We start from the raw sequence: 22,043 nt of genomic DNA, 5'->3' as shown, positions 1-22,043 counted from the left end.
TATATGTAATGTTGACAAATCCTCTAAGCCTAAGTCAGTCCAAATTCTAGGATTTCCTAATTAAAAACAAGCAGATGGTTCTTATAATAGTACAATCCCATCCTCTGTAATTTCCAAAGTCCATTATTAACGCATCAATGTAATAGAATGTCAAATGGTCAGCATTCTGCAGAGGACAATATCCAGACTAGTTCATTTAAGCAGAAAGGAATTTTTTTAAATAGAATATTAAATAGGTAATAGAATCATTAGGAGAGCTGGAAAAACAGTCTTCAGGCTGACTGTCCAGCAGTGACTCCCAAAATCCTACCACAGAGCTGAGCTTCAGAAGCTGTTGTTCCAGCATGCTCAGCAAGCTGCCTGTGAATGTTGGGAGAGCAGAGGGCAAGCATGGAGCCCTGGGTTAGGGAGTGATCAGAACTGAAGCCCAGGAGGGCTTCTGCAATGAATGACTGGGGGAACTTGGATAGAAAAGGAGGCCAAGGAAGCAGGGGTTTTCAAACAGCCAAAGTGGCCAGCATGGCCAGATACAGTAAGAGGGCCAGTTAAACATGGATTTTTTTTTTTTTTTTTGAGATGGAGTCTTGCTCTGTCAGCAGATTGGAATGCAGTGGGTGATCTTGGCACACTACAACCTCTGTCTCCCAGTTTTAAGCGATTCTCCTGCCTCAGCCTCCCGAGTACCTGGGACTACAGGCGCACGCCACCATGCCCAGCTGATTTTTGTATTTTTAGTAGAGATGGGGTCTCACCATGTTGGCCAAGATGGTCTCCATCTCCTGACCTCATCATCCGCCCGCCTTGGCCTCCCAAAGTGCTGGGATTACAGGCATGAGCCACCGTGCCCAACCAAGCATGGATTTTTTAAAAATAGTATTGTTGGTCTTGACACCTAGGAGACTTTTGCTAGGTCAGTTAGTGAGTTTTGCCAGCACTGTTTCAGGGGGATGGTGGGGAAAGCAGCTACATTGGGTGGGCGAAGACTAAATGGGAAGTGAGCAAACAGAAACAGCAAGCACGGCACAGCCAGGCCTTTCAGGGAGCCAAGTGGAGATGGGAAGGAAGCGGGGCTGTGGCTGGTGAGCCCTTAGAGCTCAGGGAATTTTTTTTATTTGTTGTTTTGTTTGTTTCTTAGGATGAGAGAAACTTGAGCATAGTAATAGCAGAGCCATTTGAAAGAGAAATGAGTCGATGTGTCAGTGTTCTAAAGGTCCTAGAAAGAAAGGGGGCAAGGACTAGAAGGAGGGGTTGGCCTGGAACACAGGAGGGACAGCTTCTCCCTGCTGGCTGTCAGAAGGAAGTGACAGTGGGTACAGGTAGGGTACCAGGAGGAGGTGGGTGGTGGAGCCCTAGTCATGGTCCTGATTTTCTCCCTGAAGCTGATGAGTCCCCCTGCTGAGACGGCAGGGCCTGGATCCTGAGCGTGAGGCTGGGGATGAGGTGCAGGTTTGGAGCAGCAACTGCTGCAGACAAGTGAAGGGATTGTCAGTCAAGGCCTTGGCCACCTAAATAAACTAGAACTTATGAGTTCAAGGTGGGCCAGCTGCCAACAGTGTGTGATGTAGTTCAGCAGCCTCGGGCCGGAGTGCAGAGGCAGGTCCTGGGGCTGCTCTGAGGACATGGACTTTCGGTTGAGGATGGTGTTGGGCTCGGAGCTCAAGTCTGCTGCTCGACGTGATGTGTCCCATCTGTGTGGCAGGTGCCTCAATCAGGAACCCTGAAGCTGTCCCACCTACAGGAGGGAACCTACACCTTCCAGCTGACCGTGACGGACACTGCCGGGCAGAGAAGCTCTGACAACGTGTCAGTGACAGTGCTTCGCGCAGCCTACTCCACAGGAGGTGAGAAGAAAGTCCTTCCCTCGCTTCCCACTGCTTGTGGAAGGCAATGTCGGGTTGGCGCTTTGTCCTCTGGCTCTGCGCTCCATGGGCTCTTCCATTTTATTTTTGGTTATTGCTGAATGAGAGAGTCTTTGCTAAAAACACAATAACAAAAGCAGGCTCTCTTCTGTTTTGGGCTTAGCCGATGCTACTGGGTTGGGGTGGAGGAAGCACTCCAGGGGATGAGAAGAGATGCTCCCGCTTCTCTTGACTCGACTTCATCAAAGACAATTGCTTGGCTATTCTGGGAGAGGACTTTGTTTACAGATGGATGGTCCATTTGCTGCATCTGTTCCAAGAGGGAAGCTAAGGAGTTTAGTGAAACCAGTTGAACTCGTGGAAGCAGAGAGTGGAATGGCGGTTACTGGAGGCTGTGCGGGGGACGGACTGGGAAAGGAGAGACGCTGGTCAAAGGGTACAAAGTGTCACTGAGACCGGAGGAACAGGTTCTGGTGATCTGTTGCACAGCATGGTGACTATAGTTAATGATAATGTATTGTCTGTTTCAAAATTGCTAAAACAGTAGGTTTTAAATGTTGTCATCACAAAAAGATTACAAGTAGGGGAGATGATAGATATGTCAGTTAGCTTGATGTAATCATTCCACAATGCAAACATATATCAAAACATCACATTGTGCCTCATAAATATATACTCTCCTCTTTTGTCAATTAAAAATACATATTAAAAAAACAAGGAAAAGGCATACCACAGGATTGAAGAAAGACTTGGCTCTTGGGTGTAATCAATTGCTGATATAATAAGTCACTTCAAAAATTTTAGAAAGAGAAAAAGAGTGCAGCTAAGGAGTACGGTTAAAATTAATTGAAATACGCAAAGGACCCATCAATTTGAAAGTGCTACCTACACATTTTCATAGACACTTTACGCAGATGCAGTTATATTAATAATATAACTTTAAATACATATGATGGTTCTCACATTCTGTTGTACAATGTAACAATGTAAAACTTATTTCATTCATCTATGTTTCTTACTTTTCTAAACATCTACATTTTTTTTTTGAGAGGGAGTTTTGCTCTTGTTGCCTAGGCTGGAGTGGGAGTGCAGTGGTGCAGTCTCGGCTCACTGCAGCCTCTGCCTCCTGGGTTCAAGTGATTCTCCTGCCTCAGCCTCCCAAGTAGCTGGGACTACAGGTGTGCACCACCACGCCCTGCTAATTTTGTATTTTTAGTAGAGACAGGGTTTCACCATGTTGGCCAACCTGGTCTCGAATTCCTGACCTCAGGTGATCCACCCGCCTCAGCCTCCCGAAGCACTTAGACTACAGGCGTGAACCACCGCGCCCAGCCCAACGTCTACATGTCTAAGAAAGATTAGGTCATCAAATTTTTTAAAATATCCATTGCATGGAACTTAGCGACACTAAAGATATTGTAGTATTGTAGAGGGAACCCCTCACCACACACACAATTCACTTCTGGAGAGGTGCTAAGGTCTTGTACATTTAAATATCCTGTTACTCGGTCATCGTGTATTTTCTTAGTGTATGCAGTGTGCAGGGTCCTTGCCAGGCACTGGGGATAGAGTGGTGCACTGGTGGTCCCTGACTCTGGTAAACTTGCAGTAAGTCTGTGACATTTTTGAATTCTCAGTATTCAATACTCAGGATCCAGATGGTAATTAAGCCAGCAGAGTGCAGAATGAGGATAAAAGAGTTGGAACAGGACTGTGATTTACTTGTACTATATTGGATCTAGCCTTCTATCAAAAACTGAGGTTAGTATGCATACTGGAAATGAAATTTTCTAAGGAGTTAGAGATTTTAGGATCCTAAGGACTTGTCAACTTTGATAATTTTCATAGGCGGCATTAAAAATTTGTTTGGCTGATGACAACCTGTCCAGCCAGGGGTTAAGCTTACTGTAAGGAAGCAGGGTAACCATTCACAGACAGGACAGGCACCAAACTCCAGCCCGTGCCAGCACTGTGAGGTCACCAGTGATAGCGAGTAAACAGTCTGTCCAGCTCAGCCCGGATTCCATCAGCCCTGCTAATTCATTGCAGCTGGACAGGAGAGCCAGCCAGCTACTCAAAACATTGTTGAGTCCCTTTGCTGGGCAGCTACTCAAAACATCATTGGTCCCTTGGCCACCAGGACCAGTGGAGACATGACATTGTCTCCAGCAGGGATGGCTCACTTCTGTAGATCTGGGCGCCCTCTAGAGGGCTTTCCCCCTGGGTACCGGGACTCACCTGGACAGGGTCTGAGTCAAGTGCTGACTCTGGGAGGAAGGGACTCTTGGGAAAAAGACACAGATACCCTGTCATCCCCACAGAAATCAGAAAAGGATTGCTCTTGTACAGCTGAAGTGCCTGGGAGGGAGGAAGGGCCTGCACTGATATGAGCAGATGGCCAGCACCTCACCGGCCACTTGTTTGTCCTGGTTTATTTCCTCAGGCAGCTTTCCGGGCTCCAGAGGTAAATTGCCAGCTGTAAATTTCTGGCCCTTCTCCAAGATGATAATAAACTGTATTTGAAGTAGCAGAGAGTGGTGTGTGAATCATTTTTGATTACTCAGTGGCCGCTTGAGTATAGGTCTTGTGTGGGTAACTTTATATGGAAAATAAAAAGGAATTGGTGAAGTACTAACTGCTGTCTAGAATCACTTAGTGGTTATATTGGAATAACATGCTATGAATTAAAGTTAATAAAACACCACAGAGAGACATTGGAAAATAGAGGTAGAAGAGACAAGTGTTTCCCTCCCCTGCATTGTATGTATTGGTCTTGCAATGAATGACCCAGATGTTATGGTAACCAAGGGTGACACTAGCTGAGGTAGACAGATGAGCAGGTACCCTGCTTATATGATCATAACTTGGTTCAATTTTTAATAAGTTGACATTTTGAACATTTTTCATGCTTAGAAAAATGATCAAACAGCAAGCCAGCAAGCTCTTCCAACATGATCTAACTCAGCAGTCTCCAAACAGGATGCCCCTGAGTTGTTCAAGACATTTTTAGGGTGAGAAAGAAGACAGCAGAGTTTATATTTTTGCTGATTTTTAATTTTTTTCCTTAAAATTTGAGTATATTTTATAAGATACACCCCATGTTAGTACAGTAGTATGCACGTATTATTTATAAATAAACCGGACTAGCCGGATGTGGTGGGACACGCCTGTAATCCCAGCTACTCAGGAGGCTGAGACATGAGAGTCAGTTGAGCCTGGGAGCTGGAGGCTGCAGTGAGCTGAGATTGTGCCACCGCACTCCAGCCTGGGCGACACAGCGAGACTCCGTCTCAAATAAATAGATAAATAAATAAACTGGAGATGCCTGTTCAACAATATATTATTGATCAGGATGCATGATCAAAAAAGTTTGGAGGCTGCTAATCCAAAAATAGATAGAAAATTTACAAATATGGATCCATCTCCAAAATCACCAAAGAATAAATAAAACCTTGAGATATCTGGGATTTTCATGCCATGAATTTAAGAAACCTGACGAGGAACTGTATCCTGCTTGATATCCAGCGTGTCCCCCACCTCCGCTCCCTGCTTCTTCCCAGTGGCCGGAGCTGACTCTCCTTCAGGCCCATGTTCTCAGTCATAACTGCAGGCTCTTTGCTTCCTCTTCTTCCGCAGGAGCTTCTATCACCATTTATTTTCTTTAACTTCTCTTCCTCCTGGATCAATATATCTTCAAATTGCCTCACACCAAGATAGACTCCTTTTCCAACCTCTTGATTTAACCACGTTTCAATAAAAGATGTGTCCAAGGCCGGGCGCAGTGGCTTACACCTGTAATCTCAGCACTTTGGGAGGCTGAGGCAGGAGGATTGCTTGAGTCCAGTAGTTCAAGACCAGCCTGGGCAACATAGTGACACCCTGTATCTACAAAAAAAAAAAAAACAAAAAAAAACCAAGTGTATGTCCAAGATTTCACTTGGGTTTGTGAACTGTGCTCAGCCATTTGGTTTTGAAGGAATATCATATAATCTGCCACTTCCCCATGTTCCTGAGAGAATTGTCTAGTCCACTCTGTCCCTGTAAAACCGTGGAGCTCCTGTGACCTGCTTCTAGCCTTGTGCCTTAGTCCATGTTGCCAGTACCAGATAGTCACCCGGTTCTCCTCTAGCTAAGTCTAATAAAGTTGGCTTAATCAAGGGAGAGGGAAAATGCATTTCAGGAAAATATTTGTAGCTCCTATGAATTGCACTGCAAATTAAAAGCTCCTAAGAACTCCAGAAGGGAGAAATGTCGTTATTTCTTTCTTTTTTTTTTTTTTTGAGACAGAGTCTCCCTCTGTCGCCCAGGCTGGAGTGCAGTGTCACAATCTTGGCTCACTGCAACCTCTGCCTCCCAGACTCAAGTGATTCTCCTGTCTCAGCCTCCCGAGTACCTGGGACTACAGGTGCATGCCACCAAGCCCGGCTAATTTTTTGTATTTTTAGTAGAGACGGGGTTTCACCGTGTTAGCCAGGATGGTCTCGATCTCCTGACCTTGTGATCCACCCGCCTTAGCTTCCCAAAGTGCTGGGATTACAGGTGTGAGCCACCACGCCTGGCCAATGTCATTATTTCATGAAACTAAATTCATGCCAGCCCATAACTAAATTTTGTTTATTCTCTACAGTACCAGGGACGTTATGATAATCAACAAATAGGATTCAATAGTAAAAACTTAATCTCAGTGAAAAGTATTACTTAGGAGACAAGAATGTAAGACATAGCATATGTAAAATAGTACCTCTGGGCCAGGCACGGTGGCTAACACCTGTAATCCCAGCACTTTGGGAGGCCGAGGCAGGTGGATCAGTTGAGGTCAGGAGTTCGAGACCAGCCTGGCCAACAAGGTGAAATCCCATCTCTACCAAAAAACACAAAAATTAACCGGGTGTGGTGGTGCATGTCTGTAGTCCCAGCTACTCCAGAGGCTGAGGCAAGAGAATCTCTTGAACCCGGGAGGCGGAGGTTGCAGTGAGCCAAGATTGTGCCACTGCACTTCAGCCTGGGCGACAGAGTGAGACCTTGTCTTAAGTAAGTAAATAAATAAATAAATGGTATCTCTGTTAAAACATAGCCAACTGCCATCCAGGGGATGGGATGGTATTAGGTGCCCTCCTGCAGAGCAATCGACAGCCAGAAGAAGAGGTTCCAACAATGGTTTCTATGAATGAATGAATGAAGAGGGAGACAGCTGAGGCGGGGAATCAAGGGTGGAGAGAGACCTGGGCTGTTGCTTCTGTGTGCCACCTCCTGGCAAGGCAAGCATGGAGAACAGCCCTCAGACCAAGAGCCCCTGAGGAGTCTGAAGAATTAAGTCGGGAGGCTCAAAAAGAGCCCTCCAACCTCTCCAGAACCTGTTGCTGGAATTGTTAGGTTTGCCTCATTATTTGCATCTCTTCCCCGAAGTGCATTTTATCATCCCCACGGACTCCCCTTTGTCATCCCCATCTTGAGAGTCTGAACTTCTGCACTCGTGTGACTTGAGATTTGTTTACAAATAGGATGTTTGCACACTTGCTCACGCTACCACTTCTTCTGTGACGATGGCTGCTGCATTGACATCACGCTCGCCTGCGATGGAGTGCAGCAGTGTCCTGATGGGTCTGATGAAGACTTCTGCCAGAATCGTGAGTTGGCTATGTCACATTGCTAGGCAGTGGCTGGAAGGGATGGAGTTGGGAGGTCTGTGTTCTGAGAATGAAATGCAAACACAGTGTCCTTCCCCTGCTTGATTTTAGTTATAACTTTACATGTAAAAGCTATGCCTTAAATGAGAATTCAATATGTCTCTAGTCTAAGTCTCAAATGTCAAATTTTTAGTATTGCTTATGTTTTTAATTTTTTTCAATTTTCCAGGTTCTTTCTATCCTAAAAATGCTGCATGTCATGTGCTTTCTTAAAAACTGCAGTGATTTGATGCTTTGTTTTGATAATTTTTTAAAGAAAATTTGCGATACACCAGGGTGTGGCTAAGTCAGAGCTGTAAATCAGTCTTATAATATCATACACATAGAAACACCCTGTAAGAAAGAAGAAAAACTGAAGAAAATGTAATGAAGTATGGATTTGAGGAAGGACGAAGAGTCTCAAAACCTTAAGTTTACGTTTAGTCTTTGTCCATTTCTTTTTTCTTTTCTTTCTTTTTTTTATGAGACCAGTTCTCACTCTGTCACCCAGGCTGGAGTGCAGTGGCATAATCATGGCTCACTGCAGCCTCGACTTCCCCAGCCTTAGGTGTTTCTCCCACCTCAGCCTCCCCAGTAGCTGGGACTGCAGGCATGTACCACCATGCCCAGCTAATTTTTGTTAATTTTTTGTAGAGATGGGGTTTTGCCTTGTTGCCCAGGCTGGTCACGAACTCGTGGGCTCAAGTGATTGCCTACTTCTGCCTCCCAAGGTGCTAGGATTACAGGCATGAGCCACCGTGCTGGGCCCCGTCCATTTCTTTATGTGTAACATTTGGAAAGCTGACTATTGGAAGAAGAAAGAACAGATTACCCATTTGAAAACGTGAGAATAGATTTTTATGGTCCTCTGACATGTCTTAGATGAGTGGGCTGTTACATCCAAATATCCGTGATTTTAAATCAGCTGCAGATGTAGTGTTTTTAGTATTAAAGCTCAGAAAAGAAATCCAGCAACTAACAGTAGCTCTTCCACACTTCAGTGGGCCTGGACCGCAAGATGGTAACCCACACGGCAGCTAGTCCTGCCCTGCCAAGAACCACAGGGCCGAGTGAAGATGCAGGGGGTGACTCCTTGGTGGAAAAGTCTCAGAAAGCCACTGCCCCAAACAAGCCACCTGCATTATCAAACACAGAGAAGAGGAATCATTCCGCCTTTTGGGGACCAGAGAGTCAAATCATTCCTGTGATGCCAGGTAAGGATTCACGGTGGGTTCTCAATGAAGAACCTTGTTTTCTGTAGCCAAACTTGGCTCACAATTAAGTTTATGTTTGAAGAGTGTTAAGGAAGTATCTTGAAATAAGAGTTAAAATTAAGAATTTGGCCAGAAAGGCGGGGGGAAATCTTGACATTTGCACTAATTTGTAGTAAGGGACACTTACTAAATACACTCATGTACCTACTCCAGAGACACTAATACATTTATTTGTAAATACATTAACACTTAGCTTACGTAAACCAATACCCAAAGTGTTAAATTTTAGGTTGTTTTGAGATGAAACAGCATAACCATTATGTATTTGTGTAAATCCTCTTCACCCAAGCAAGTGAACATTTAAACAAGTTGTCTTGAAAGAGATGCATGTGCTAGTAATTCAACGTTATGCCTCCAATTTAACTAAATCTATCACTAAAAAAAGTAAGGCTAATGAGATTTATTTTTATTTTTTTTGAGACAGGGTCTCACTCTGTTTCCCAGGCTGGAGTACAGTGACGCGATCACAGCTCACTGCAGCCTCAGCCTCCCAAACTCACATGATCCTCCCATCTCAGCCTCCTGAGTAGCTGGGACTATAGGCGTAGTAGCTGGGACCACCATGCCTGACTAATTTTTGTATTTTTTATAGAGACAAGGTTTTGCCATGTTGCCCAGGCTGGTCTTGAACTCTTGGGCTCAAGCAATCTGCCCACCTCGGCTGGCCTCCCAAAGTGCTAGGATTATAGGTGTGAGTCACTGCACCTGGCCTAAAATACATTAACATGACTAAAGCATTACAGAATTTAGCCAGATGCAGTGACTCACCTATAATCCCAGCTACTCTGGAGGCTGAGGCAGAAGAATTGCTTGAGGCCAAGAGTTTGAGACCAGCCTGGGCAACATAGTGAGACCTTGTCTCAATCAGTCAATCAATAAGTATTACAGGATTCCATCATTTTTTACACACTTATTATTTGCATGATTATGTGACATGAGACAGAAATAGAGATTATCACATTTCCAAAAGCTTTTCTAATGTCTTTTCAGACTCTGCATAAGTTGTATTGAAATAACCTGACATGATTTTAGTAAGTTTATTAAGAAAAATTTTTGTTCATTGTACAAGATACGGAAGATGCAAAATAATTTAAGAAGGAAAGTGAATTTAAAATACCACCTCTTTTGAAAACTGCTTTTAATATTTGTTATATTTCCTTCCACTCTTGTTTATGTGCCTTGTAGATTTTAAGTGCCTCCATAAAAATATGTCTGCAAAACATTGCATTCTATCAGGGGCTTTTCTTTCTGAGTTTTGGTTAAGAATGCTGCCAAGTGTCTGCTTTTTTGGTCCATTCCTGGTTGGTACTGCCACCTACTGGTAAAATCGGTCACTACATGCAAGCCTTTGGATGTGGTTTTAGTGGGTTTTCTCTGCTTAAGATAGTTTGTATGGAGAAGAGCATCACAATCTAAGAAACAGAGTTGGGCAGACCAGGCATCTTTGGCAGGACTGCCGAAGGGGTGAAGAGTTTATGGAGAGATCTGTGTTATCAGAGGCCAGGATGGATGAATTCCTACCACATTACTGTGGTGGAGAGAACCACGTGAGCATGAACAAATTAGCTGAAAGTAGAGTCGAGACCAAAGCCCAGGTCTTGGCTCTACCTTTAGAACCTTGAATAAGTCACTTCATATCTCTGGACCTCAGTTGCCTCATCTGTTAATAAGGGACTTCAACCAGATGTCCTCCAAGGTGCTGTCCAGCACTGAGGAATGATAAATAGGCTGACATTCATACTTTACCCCATCAGCCCTTACCCATGCTAGGTGTCACTCATTGGTCCCAGCACTGTCCCATGGGGAATGTGGACTTAGCTCAGAATCCTTTTGAAAATAGTGCTCCAGGCTAGAAGCCATTATTCTCAGCAAACTAACGCAGGAACAGAAAACCAAATACTGCATGTCCTCACGTTAGAAATGGAAGCCGAATGATGAGAACACATGAACATATGGAGGGAAACAACACACACTGGGGCCTGTCAGAGGGTGGGAGGTAGGGGGAGGGGGAGCATCAGGCAGAACAGCTAATGGATGCTGGGCTTAATACCTAGGGATGGGATGATCTGTGCAGCAAACCACCATGACACGTTTACCTGTGTGACAAACCTGCACATCCTACACATGTACCCCGGAACTTAGAAGTTGGAGGGAAAAAAAAGAAAATAATGCTCCAGGCTGCCACCTGCGGCTGATGGGAGTCAGCACCCAATTTCCAATCTATTTATGATCTCTCCTTTTGCTTTTTGATAATCAGCCTTTGGATTTGGTTATGAAGATGTAAAGAGTGGTCTTTCACAGATGCAGAGAGATTAGATGTACAGTTATTATATTAGGGCTTTTTCTAATTATTAAAATAATATGGATTTACTGTAGAAAATATAGAAAAATACAAAGAAAGTTAAAAGCATCTAGCAAAACTCACCATTAAAATTTTGTCGCATTTTCTTCTGGTTACTTCTATTCATACACATATACATATTTATTCATTTTTAACAAAAGCAGGATAATGCTTTTATAAAACTTTTTTCTTACTCATGAGCATTTTCATGTATTATTAACTATTCATCAAAAACACACTTTTTGAAAGTCCTGGGGTGAAGAAAGTGGGAAGAAAAAAACAAAACTGAAAATGTTAGAAAGAGCCCTCACATCCTGTAGTTTCTGTTCAGACAGTAGCTGTCCCTGCCCTCCCCCTCTGCTGTCCCTAAGACCACCAGAGTAGAGTCCTCAGCCTCTGATTTCATGTAAGTTAAAGACCCATAAGTAGATTTAAAAGTGCATTATTGGCCGGGCACGGTGGCTCACGCCTGTAATCTCAGCACTTTGGGAGGCCGAGGTGGGCGGATCATGAGGTCAGGAGATCGAGATCATCCTGGCTAACACGGTGAAACCCCATCTCTACTAAAAATACAAAGGCCAGGAACGGTGGCTTACGCTTGTAATCCCAGCACTTTGGGAGGCCGAGGCAGGCGGATCACAAGGTCAGGAGATCGAGACCATCCTGGCTAACATGGTGAAACGCTGTCTCTACTAAAACTACAAAAAATTAGCTGGACGTGGTGGCGGGCACCTGTGGTCCCAGCTACTCGGGAGGCTGAGGCAGGAGAATGGCGTGAACCCGGGAGGTGGAGCTTGCAGTGAGCCAAGATCGCACCACTGCACTCCAGCCTGGGCGACAGAGCAAGACTCCGTCTCAAAAATAAAATAAAAAAATAAAAATAAAAATACAAAAAATTAGCCGGGCATGGTGGCGGGCACCTGTAGTCCCAGCTACTTAGGAGGCTGAGGCAGGAGAATGGTGTGAACCCAGGAGGCAGAGCTTTCAGTGAGCTGAGATTGCGCCACTGCACTCCAGCCTGAGCAACAGAGCGAGACTCCATCTCAAAAAAAAAAAAAAAAAAGTACATTGTTGTTCATGACACATGCCTGGGTTTTAAGAAGACCATCAGCTAGTACAATAAATATGAATGAGTTAAATTCACTGCTGCCTCCTTCCTGCACAGACATGTGGTGAGGACAAATAAGACTTAGCTCGGCTGGGCGCGGTGGCTCATGCTTGTAATCCCAGCACTTTGGGAGGCCGAGGCAGGCAAATCACGAGGTCAGTTCAAGACCAGCCTGGCCAACATGGTGAAACCCCATCTCTACTAAAAATACAAAAAATTAGCTGGGCGTAGTGTCAGGCACCTGTAATCCCAGCTACTCAGGAGGCTGAGGCAGGAGAATCACTTGAACCCAGGAGGCGGAGGTTGCAGTGAGCCAAGATTGCGCCACTGCACTCCAGCCCAGGTGACAGAGTGAGACTCAGTCTCAAAAAAAAAAAAAAAAAAGACTTAGCTCATGGAAGACTTGTTAACAAGATACTAAGATTAATACTAACAGTGTAGCATGCAAAGTAGTGAGATGTAGTTTTTCACCTATCACATTGACAATGATGAAGAATTATAATAATTAATGTTTCTAAGAGTAGAGAGAAACAAGTCTCACACTCTGCTGGTAGCAATGCAATTAGTACGTCCTTCCAGAGGCCAGTTTCTGAAGGCTTAAAACTATGTATATGATCGGGTGCAGCAGCTCACACCTGTAATCCCAGCACTTTGGAAGGCCAAGGCAGGTGGATTGCTTAAGGCCAGGAGTTCTAGACCAGCCCTAGCAACATGGCAAAACCCCATCTCTACAAAAACTACAGAAATCAGCTTGTGGTATTCACCTGTAATCCCAGCTACTTGAAAGGCTGAGGTGGGAGAATTGCTTGAGCTTGGGAGGTCGAGGCTGCAGTGAGCTGTAATCCCACCACTGTACTCCAGCCTGGGTGACAGAGTAAGACCTCATCTCTAAAACAAAACTATGTGTGCTTTGACCCAATTGTCCCACTTTTGGGGATTTATTCCACACAGGTTACTGAGGATAAAATGAAGGTATGTGCAGACATTCAGTTACACCAGCGAATGCATGCTCAGTACACTCTGAGCCACCGGGCAGGAGGAGCACAGAGCTCCAGTGTGGCCTGTGTTTGCTCAGCATGTAAAGGCACAATGGCTGGATTGTTGACCATGGTCATAGCCGTAGGGCCTGTTCTCTGTGTGGTCCATGTCATTCATTAACAATTCCACCCTCTTGTATCCAAGCTACCCCGAGGAAAGAAATCTGGTTTCCAGCCCTACAAAGGGCTAGAAAAGTGGTGCTACATCCACATTCACGTGGAATCTGCTTTTTGAAACTTGAGAATTCCTGGGCATGTTAAAGTATTTCTTCCGGATCATGCCTGCATGCTCTATGGCAGCTGGAAATGAAATGAAAACAGCTTCCATCCAGCTGCCAATTCCCTCTGTGAATGTGTCGCCATGCATAGTAAACATAATACATTCAGAAGAAAGGAAAAATGGTCTCCTAAGACATGTAACTCTTCCAGAAGGATCATTACCAAAAGTAACTATTTCCAGAAGCAAGTGATGTCATTGTTTTGTTTTGTTTCGATTCGCCACACTGGCTAGAGCCTGTGATTGGATGTGTGAAAGTGAAGCATTTCTCTATGGCGTTCCTTATGCTGAAATCTAGGAAAAATGAATCAGGCAGACTGGGAAATCATAGGGAATTCCTTCATGGAATGTAAACAGCAGAAATTCACATTTCAGTTACCCAGAAGGCAGGGCCAGGTTCCTGGGTAATCCTAGAGTCTGGGGCAACTGCGCCTTCTGAAGTCTCCCATGCACACTGCCCGCTGCCTGATACCTGATCCCTCCCTACATCACCATCTTCCTCTCCCCAGGGAATAAGGGCATTTAAGAAAATGCTGTTTAAAAAAATTTTTCTTAAAGAAAGAAAGTGCTCTTTAATTTTGACAACTGAAGATTCAGAAAGAATTTGCATAGTTTTTTACATGAACCCACCTGTGAGGTTAGGTCCCTTTTGCAAGTACAGTTAGCCAATTTCTCTACTGCATCCTTAATAAAGCTTTGTCCAGAACCTTCCTAAAAATCATTTAAAAGTGTGTGATTTTGCCTGGGTATGAGTAAATAAATATAGTATTGACTTGGTTCTTGGAGTAAAAAACTCGTATTTGCTAGTTGTGACCTTGAGAGCAGTATGGTTCAATGGAAAACTGCTTTGGATCAGTCCTGGGTTCTAATTCCAGCACCACCAATTACTAGCTACTAAGTAATCAACTTCTCTAAACTTCATTTCCTTACCTGTAAGAGGATAATAATCTCAGCTGGGCACGGTGGCTCATGCCTGTAATTCCAGCACTTTGGGAGGCCACGGCGGGTGGATCACCTGAGGTAGGGAGTTCGAGACCAGCCTGGCCAACACGGAGAAACCCCATCTCTACTAATAATACAAAAATTAGCCAGGCGTGGTGGTGCATGCCTACAATCCCAGCTTCTCGGGAGGCTGAGGCAGGAGAATCGCTTGAACCCAGGAGGTGGAGGTTGCAGTGAGCCGAGATTGCGCCAGTGCACTCCAGCCTGGGCAACAAGAGTGAAATTCTGTCTCAAAAAAAAAAAAAAAAAAAAGAGGATAATAATCTCTCATAATATGGCTACAAAGATTGCAGGAGATATTATATGTAAATATAATTGATGTCTCTCAGTAAATGTTAGTGCTGTTTGAATTTTTGCTAGAACATTCAAGTCCAGTGGTATTCGCTAGGAAACCAGGGTAAGAGAGCGCCAAGTGTATAAGGCAGTTAATTCAAATAAAAAATAGAAATAGTGCAGTAGTGTTTCCAGTACTGAGTTCCTTTAAGAATTAAGATGAGCAAGCTCTCATCTTCATTGGGAAGAAACAGTGAGGTGAACACTGTAAATGCAGTTATCTTATTTTTTTTATTGGGTGAAAGACAAACCAGTTAGTCCTCTGAAAAAAATCGGGAGTTGGTGAATTTTGGCACTTTGTTTTTATTCCTGGCTCATTTTTAATTTTATTTTTATTTTTATTTTATTTTATTTTATTTATTTTTTTAGATGGAGTCTCGTTCTCTTACCCAGGCTGGAATGCAGTGGCGCTGTCTGGGGTCACTGCAACCTCCACCTCCCAAATTCAAGCGATTCACCTGCCTCAGCCTCCCAAGTAGCTGAGATCACAAGCGTGTGCCGTCATTCCCAGCTAATTTTTGTATTTTTAGTAGAGATGGGGTTTCACCATGTTGGCTAGGCTGGTCTCGAACTCCTGACCTCAAGTGATCCACCTGCCTTGGCCTCCTAAAGTGCTGGGATTACAGGCGTGAGCCACCATGCCCAGGCCCTGGCTTATTATTTTTAAAAAGTAGGACTTGAGTTTCCCACCATGTGATCTTCCCACTTCCAAATTTATTATTGGAGAGAGAGATAAAGCAGAATGCATAGAAGTTCCTTTGCAAGCTAACCTGGCAGTACGGCATGGGGGAGGAGGAAAGGGATGAAGGGAGAAGTGCCACAAGTGGTTTTTAGGTAACTTAGCAGTTTGATTTCCAAGCTGTTTCAGGGCTGCTAGTTTTGTGTGTGCGGCTGCTGGATGGACTGTTTTGCATATCACTGATTTATATCTCTACAGAACAAATCTTGTGTTTCTTTTGGAGATCCACGAGCAACTGGCATTTGAAAAAATCAGGCATTATTGACTTTAAAACACAGTAATGTTTTCTATATCTCTACCAAGCAAAAGCTCAGGAACATTCACTGGAGTCTCTGTAGTAATCTAAACAAGGCTTACATTGAACCTTCAAAATGCTATTGAAAATATTCATATTTTTAGGTCAGGTGCTGTGGCTCACACCTGCAATTCCAGCACTTTGGGAGGTCAAGGCGGGAGGCTTGCTTGAGCTCAGGAGTTCAAGACCAGCCTGGGAAACATGGCAAAACCCCATCTCTACAAAAAAATAGAAAAATTAGTCAGGTGTGGTGATGCTTACCTGTAGTCCCAGTTAGTTGGGAGGCTGAGGTGGGAGGATCACTTGAGCCTGGGAAGTCGAGGCTGCAGTGAGCTGAGATTGCACCACTGCACTCTAGCCTGGGCAACAAAGGGAGACCCTGTCTCAAAAAAAAAAAAGAAAATAAAACATACTCATATTTTCAATATGGATATCAACACCATGAGATTTGCACCATAAAAGCAGTGGTTAAATATGTACCTATTAACTACCTCACCCCTGAGAAAAAGTGTAAAAATTACTTGCCACAAAAATTGCACTCTGGTCTGTCTACTAGCAGTAAAAATATAATAAAATAAAAAAGCTGCATGGTCTTATTTTTCTGTATTAAATAGTGCTTTCCTATGTCAGCAGATGTTTACAGTACTTCTAGTATAGCTTCCTAGGCCAGAATCATATATAATAAAATCTTTTTTTTTTTTCTTTTGAAAAGGAGTCTCTGTTGCCCAGGTTGGAGTGCGGTGGCATGATCTTGGCTCACTGCACCCTCCGCCTCCCAAGTTCAAGTGATTCTCCTGCCTCAGTTTCCCAAGTAGCTGGGATTACAGGCGCCCACCACCATGCCTGGCTAATTTTTTTTTTTTTTTTTTTTGAGACGGAGTCTTGCTCAGTCGCCCAGGCTGGAGTGCAGTGGCGCGATCTCGGCTCACTGCAAGCTCCGCCTCCAGGGTTCACGCCATTCTCCTGCCTCAGCCTCCCCAGCAGCTGGGACTACAGGCGCCCACCATGCCTGGCTAATTTTTTTTGTATTTTAAGTAGAGACAGGGTTTTGCCATGTTGGCCAGGCATGAGCCACTGCGTGCGGCCCTTATGTAATACAATCTTATAGAACTACCTGGCCTGGGATCAGGTATCATATAAGAGAATCCAGGTAGCTGGAGAGGTCCTTGGTGACCACTGTCGTGGCTACTGCAGTGAGTTGGACAGTAACAGAACTCTTTTTGCAGGGAAATCTGATCCTGCAGCCTATGAGCAATGGCTGTGCTTTCCTCATCTCTCTCCTTCTGTCTGAGCTCAGAGTTTATGGAGAAAGCCCAAATTATTGGCTGTATGTAGGACCAACATACATGGAACTTTCTAGAGTAACAAGACACAGTAGACTGTCCCCAAAGTGCCAGGATTATAGGCATGAGCCAGTGCACCTGGCCAACTTTGTGACTTAGTAAATTTGCAAAATGCAAGTTACCAAAGAATTTTATATACTACCTTTAAATAGTCTTATTTCATTTGCAGGAATTAGGAACATTTATGTTGATGCCATATGAGTAAAGAAGCTTTAAAAATTTTCTCAATAAAATTTGTCAGTAGATTATTTCTAATTCATTGCCATTAAGCATTGTAATACTCAAAAATCCCACTTAAGGCTGGGCATGGTGGCTCACGCCTGTCATCCCAGCACTTTGGGAGGCTGAGGTGAGCGGATCACTTGAGCCCATCTGGGGAACATGGCAAAACCCCGTCTCTACTAAAAATACAAAAATTAGCGAGGCATGGTGGCACGCACCTGTAATCCCAGCTACTCGGGAGGCTGAGGCAGGAGAATTGCTTGAACCCAGGAGGTGGACGTTGCAGTGAGCCAAGATCGTGCCACTGCACTCCAATCTGGGCAACAGAGACTCTGTCTCAAAAAAAAAAAAAAGTAAATAAATAATAATAATTTCCCCCTCAGTATTATAACTTAATAGTTAAGTAATATATCATTAAATTAGAAGTACTGGTCTCTACCAAGAAACCAGTTTGCATCCCAGCCCTGTGACCCACTTACTTGTGTGAACCTAGGTACGAACCTGACCCTGAGCCTAACCAGAAAGAAAATTGAGCTATTTATACCTGCCATCCAGAGTTGTGAGAAAGAGAAAGAGCATGTCTAAATGCCTTATATATGCCCATTGTTTATTCTTCAAAGAAAAACCTTTCTGGTTTCTGCTTTTCATGGCGTGATATCCGGAGACTCCCTGTGACTCTTCTAGCCTGAGATCTCCCTTCTCCAAGAGGCGTGGTGGTAGTTCGGTGCAGGGTGTGTCTTCCGCTCTCTCTGTCGGTGGTTTCGTATTAGCTGCGTACTTTGCTTTATTCAGTGGGTCACCTTAGTTATTTACTGCTTAACTATCAAACATAGGCCTTTGTTTAGTAGAGAAATAAACAGTTCTTCTCTAAGTCCATCTTAAAAAAAAATAAGGCTGTATTTTCACATTTGTTTCCTGAAGTTTCTGATGCATACACCTTCAATATATGTTCTCTTTCTTTTCTGCAGATAGTAGTTCCTCAGGGAAGAACAGAAAAGAGGAAAGTTATATATTTGAGTCAAAGGGTGATGGAGGAGGAGGGGAACACCCAGCCCCAGAAACAGGTAAATGTCCACCTTGGAAACCCTTTGCAGACTGTAGTCTTCTCAGAACTGCATGCCCTCTGGCTGAGGATATTCCCTGAGGCCATGAGAGCTCAGGACAGGAGGAGTCCGTCAGTGGACCGAAAGAACTGTCTCCTCGTTGCTTGTATTGCACTGCGTCTTGGGGCTCCTGATAGTAACCTTCCATCTTTGGACCTCAGCTGCCTTTTCTATACACCCTTCCAGGTGTGACACCTGTGGAAAATGTCATACTTGTGGCATGGTGGGAGAACACAAGCTTTAGAGTCAGATGCCACAATTCAAATCCTTGCTCAAAGCTGGGCACAGTGGCTCACGCCTGTAATCCCAGCACTTTGGGAGGCCAAGGCAGGAGGATCGCTTGAGCTCAGGAGTTCAAGACCGGCCTGGGCAATATGGCAAAATCCTGTCTCTACAAAAAATACAAAAATTAGCCAAGTGTGGTGACATTCGCCTGTAGTCCCAGGGAGGCTGAGGTGGGAGGATCACTTGAGCCTGGGAGGTCGAGGCTGCAGTGAGATAAGATTGTGCCACTGCACTCCAGCCTGGGTGACAGAGTGAGACCGTCTCAAAAAAAAAAAAAAAAAATTCTCACTTACCCACTAAACTGTATGACCTTGAGCAGGCTATCTTATCTCTCTGGATCTCAGTTTCCTCATTCGTAAGATGAGGATAGTAACAATACCTGCCTCATAGGGTTGCTGAGAAGAATATATGGGATAATTAATCTCAAGCATTGAATGCACTGTGTGGCTCATATGATGAGCCAAATATAGAAACGATGGCAGTTATTACTCAGTTATTTACGATGAAAGAAGAGTAAAGGTCTTAGAATACCTAGTTCTCTTTCCAAGTGCCCTAGTGACAAAGACAGAAAACAACAGAAATGAGGGAAGGGTGTAGGAAGTAGAATATTTACTAAGTGGAAGAAGAATACAATAATTTCTTTAATTTTGGTTGATTTTAACTAGGAAGAAAAGACTTTGGAAACCATCCTTTAGAAAGGCAGGCTTTAGTCTTAAATCCCACAAACTAGTAAAAGAAGCTTTAGAAGAACAAAATATAAGCTTAAGTTATAAACATTGAGAAAACTTTCTTTTTACCCTATTTATAATATCAGGACAATATTAAAATATAATGTTTAAACAATAGATAGCTAAGAATACTCCAGATGTCAAGTACCTGGGTGACCCCCTTGGTCTGCTGGCCTCCTGGACTTAGCCTGTCCCAAGATATTTGAATAAAAGGGGCCCTGTCCCCTATCAAGGGAAGAGGGAAACCAGCCTGCCTCTTGCCTCCCCACACATATGTATCCAGAGAGTCTCAGCTCTAGTTGGCTGTTGCCTATTCTGGTTGTTACATATTTTTGTTTTGTTTTGTTTTTGAGACATCGAGTCTCACTCTGTTGTCCAGGTTGGAGTACAGCGGCGCGATCTCAGCTCACTGCAGCCTCTGCTTCCCGGGTTCAAACGATTCCCCTGCCTCAGCCTCCCTAGTAGCTGGGATTACAGGTGCATGCCACCACACCTGGCTAATTTTTGTATTTTTAGCAGAGATGGGGTTTTGCCATGTTGGCCAGGCTGGTCTCAAAACTTCTGACCTCAAGTGATCCTCCTGCCTCAGCCTCCCACCATGCTGGGATTACAGGTGTGAACCACTGTGCCCAGCCTGTTACATATTTTAAATGTCACCCCCATTCATATGAACAGAATACATAATTCATCACCCTAGCTGGTTACTGAGAATAGCATCATGGTGTGTTTTAGAAGGAGCTAGAAAGTTGTAAATCTCAAATTATCCAAACTAAGCCAACTAAATATTAAAAGTCAAGAATAATTTTCAATATTCTGGCAAGTACTTTTGGGAGATTTCATTTTCCTTGTCATAAAAGCATTAAACAGGAATCAGATCAGACAGTTCAGCAGCCTCATATCTGACTTAGCAAATAGAACATTTTCCCAGATCTCGTCTGTTTTATTGTTACCATAGCTAAACCTGAGCCCCGGCATTGGGATTGGCATCTTCAACCACAGCTTCATAACCCTTTAGCCTAAATGCTGATGCTCATCTTTAAGCAAGTCCCCCGGACTGGGGCTGGGTGTTGCGGTCCAATTCATGAGAAATGATTTGGGGTTCCTGGGGTTTTCTGTGGGTATTGACCAAAGTCTCTTTTTTTGTCCTGTTCCTTTGTAACATATGCAACTTATAGGAAGGTGGAGGGAGAATGACACCTTGGGGCCACTTAGCCTTGTCAGAACTTCTTTCATCAGGTGGAGACTAGGAGGCAGTAGTAGCTACTGAAGCCCCAAACTGCTGGCATGGAGAGACCAGGCAGCCATCTTGACACCTCCAGAACTGCTGTGTATGGAATGAGACAGCCGTAGAATCCAATTCCAGTCCATAGGGTTATCACCGATTTGTATCTTTCACAATTCTCTGGAGGAATGCTGGCCTCTTCCAGAACTTTGTTTGATACCTAACAGTCTCTAAAGCAGCTTTCCCATCCCCTCCTCCGGCAACCAGACACTTTCAAACTGTTCTTGAGAATCTTGTTCAGGAGTTTTACCTGGGATTCTAAAAATACACCAGAGTTCAAGTGCCGTGAGTGTGTCATCAGCTCCAGGTCCTCTTGTCTTCAAGAGGCGGCCAGCTATACCTGGGACCAGTTTTAAGCCCAGTAAATCAAGACTGTCTGGAGTGAACTTCCTCAGCTACCTGCCCCCCAAATGTAAAAACTCATCTGGTTGCATTCACCCCTCTTCCTCCCCTCCAGTACTAAAGGAAGAGGTGTCGCCTCTTTCCAAGGTCTCTCCCTGATCTGGCTAAAGCCCCTGATTTCCTCAGGTTCATTTCTCATCATCTCCTAGCTCTCCCGTGTTTTTCATCTCTGTTTCTTTACTGGCTCATTCTCCTGACTGTGATCATGTTCAGATTTCTTAATGTGTAAAGAAACAAAGTAGCATCCTCCATCTTCTGTACTCCCATAAATGAATTACCAATTGCTAAATCCAGGGGGCTCTCCAGGCTTCACCTCACTTGACATTTCCTTAGCATTTGATTCAGCTGAGGACTTTCTTCTTGGACGTCTCTTTCCTCAGCTTCCAAAAGCCCACTCCCTACTATAGCGGTTGTCCTCCTATTTCTCTGACTGGTCTTCTTCTGTTTTTTTTTGGTCCTCTGCTTTTGTCTGCCCTCTAAATGCTGGTGTTTCCCAGGACCTCGTTCCTGGCTCACCTTTCTTCTTCCTTTCTCTCTGGCTGTCCTAACCCCTATTGTGACTGCAGCTACCACCTTTATGCTAAAGGCTCCCACATATTTAGGCCCAGCTAATCCAAAAGCCTAAGAGAAAATTCCACCTGATCGCTGATAGGCATCTCAATCTGAAAATGTCAAAAAATAAACTTACCTCCTTCAGCCACCCAACAGTCTCTATCATACATCAAAATCACTCAGGCAAAAATCCTA

The 22,043-nt window shown here is 44.1% G+C and overlaps 1 protein-coding gene and 1 long non-coding RNA gene across 3 annotated transcripts in view; both read left to right on the top strand.

Annotated features, from left to right (window-relative positions):
- Positions 1 to 22,043, top strand: part of RAET1E-LRP11 (RAET1E-LRP11 readthrough) — a 77,374-nt gene that overhangs the window by 51,307 nt on the left and 4,024 nt on the right. The window contains exons 11-14 of the long non-coding RNA NR_182438.1: positions 1,700 to 1,841; positions 7,361 to 7,486; positions 8,527 to 8,739; positions 18,465 to 18,560. This is a non-coding gene — a long non-coding RNA (RAET1E-LRP11 readthrough). The remainder of the gene's footprint in view (positions 1 to 1,699; positions 1,842 to 7,360; positions 7,487 to 8,526; positions 8,740 to 18,464; positions 18,561 to 22,043) is intronic.
- Positions 1 to 22,043, top strand: part of LRP11 (LDL receptor related protein 11) — a 45,603-nt gene that overhangs the window by 19,536 nt on the left and 4,024 nt on the right. The window contains exons 3-6 of one of the 2 annotated variants that reach the window (NM_032832.6): positions 1,700 to 1,841; positions 7,361 to 7,486; positions 8,527 to 8,739; positions 18,465 to 18,560. In NM_032832.6, coding sequence (NP_116221.3) covers positions 1,700 to 1,841; positions 7,361 to 7,486; positions 8,527 to 8,739; positions 18,465 to 18,560 — 577 coding nt within the window. Of the gene's footprint in view, positions 1 to 1,699; positions 1,842 to 2,147; positions 4,387 to 7,360; positions 7,487 to 8,526; positions 8,740 to 18,464; positions 18,561 to 22,043 lie in introns of those variants that run through there. The other variant, NM_001410946.1, reaches the window with a different exon arrangement.

Source organism: Homo sapiens, chromosome 6 (genome assembly GCF_000001405.40).
Source record: "Homo sapiens chromosome 6, GRCh38.p14 Primary Assembly".
In the NCBI taxonomy this organism is placed as follows: Eukaryota; Metazoa; Chordata; class Mammalia; order Primates; family Hominidae; genus Homo; species Homo sapiens.
The sequence above is the reverse complement of the archived record's forward strand: the minus strand, read 5'-3'. Positions and strand labels throughout refer to the sequence as shown.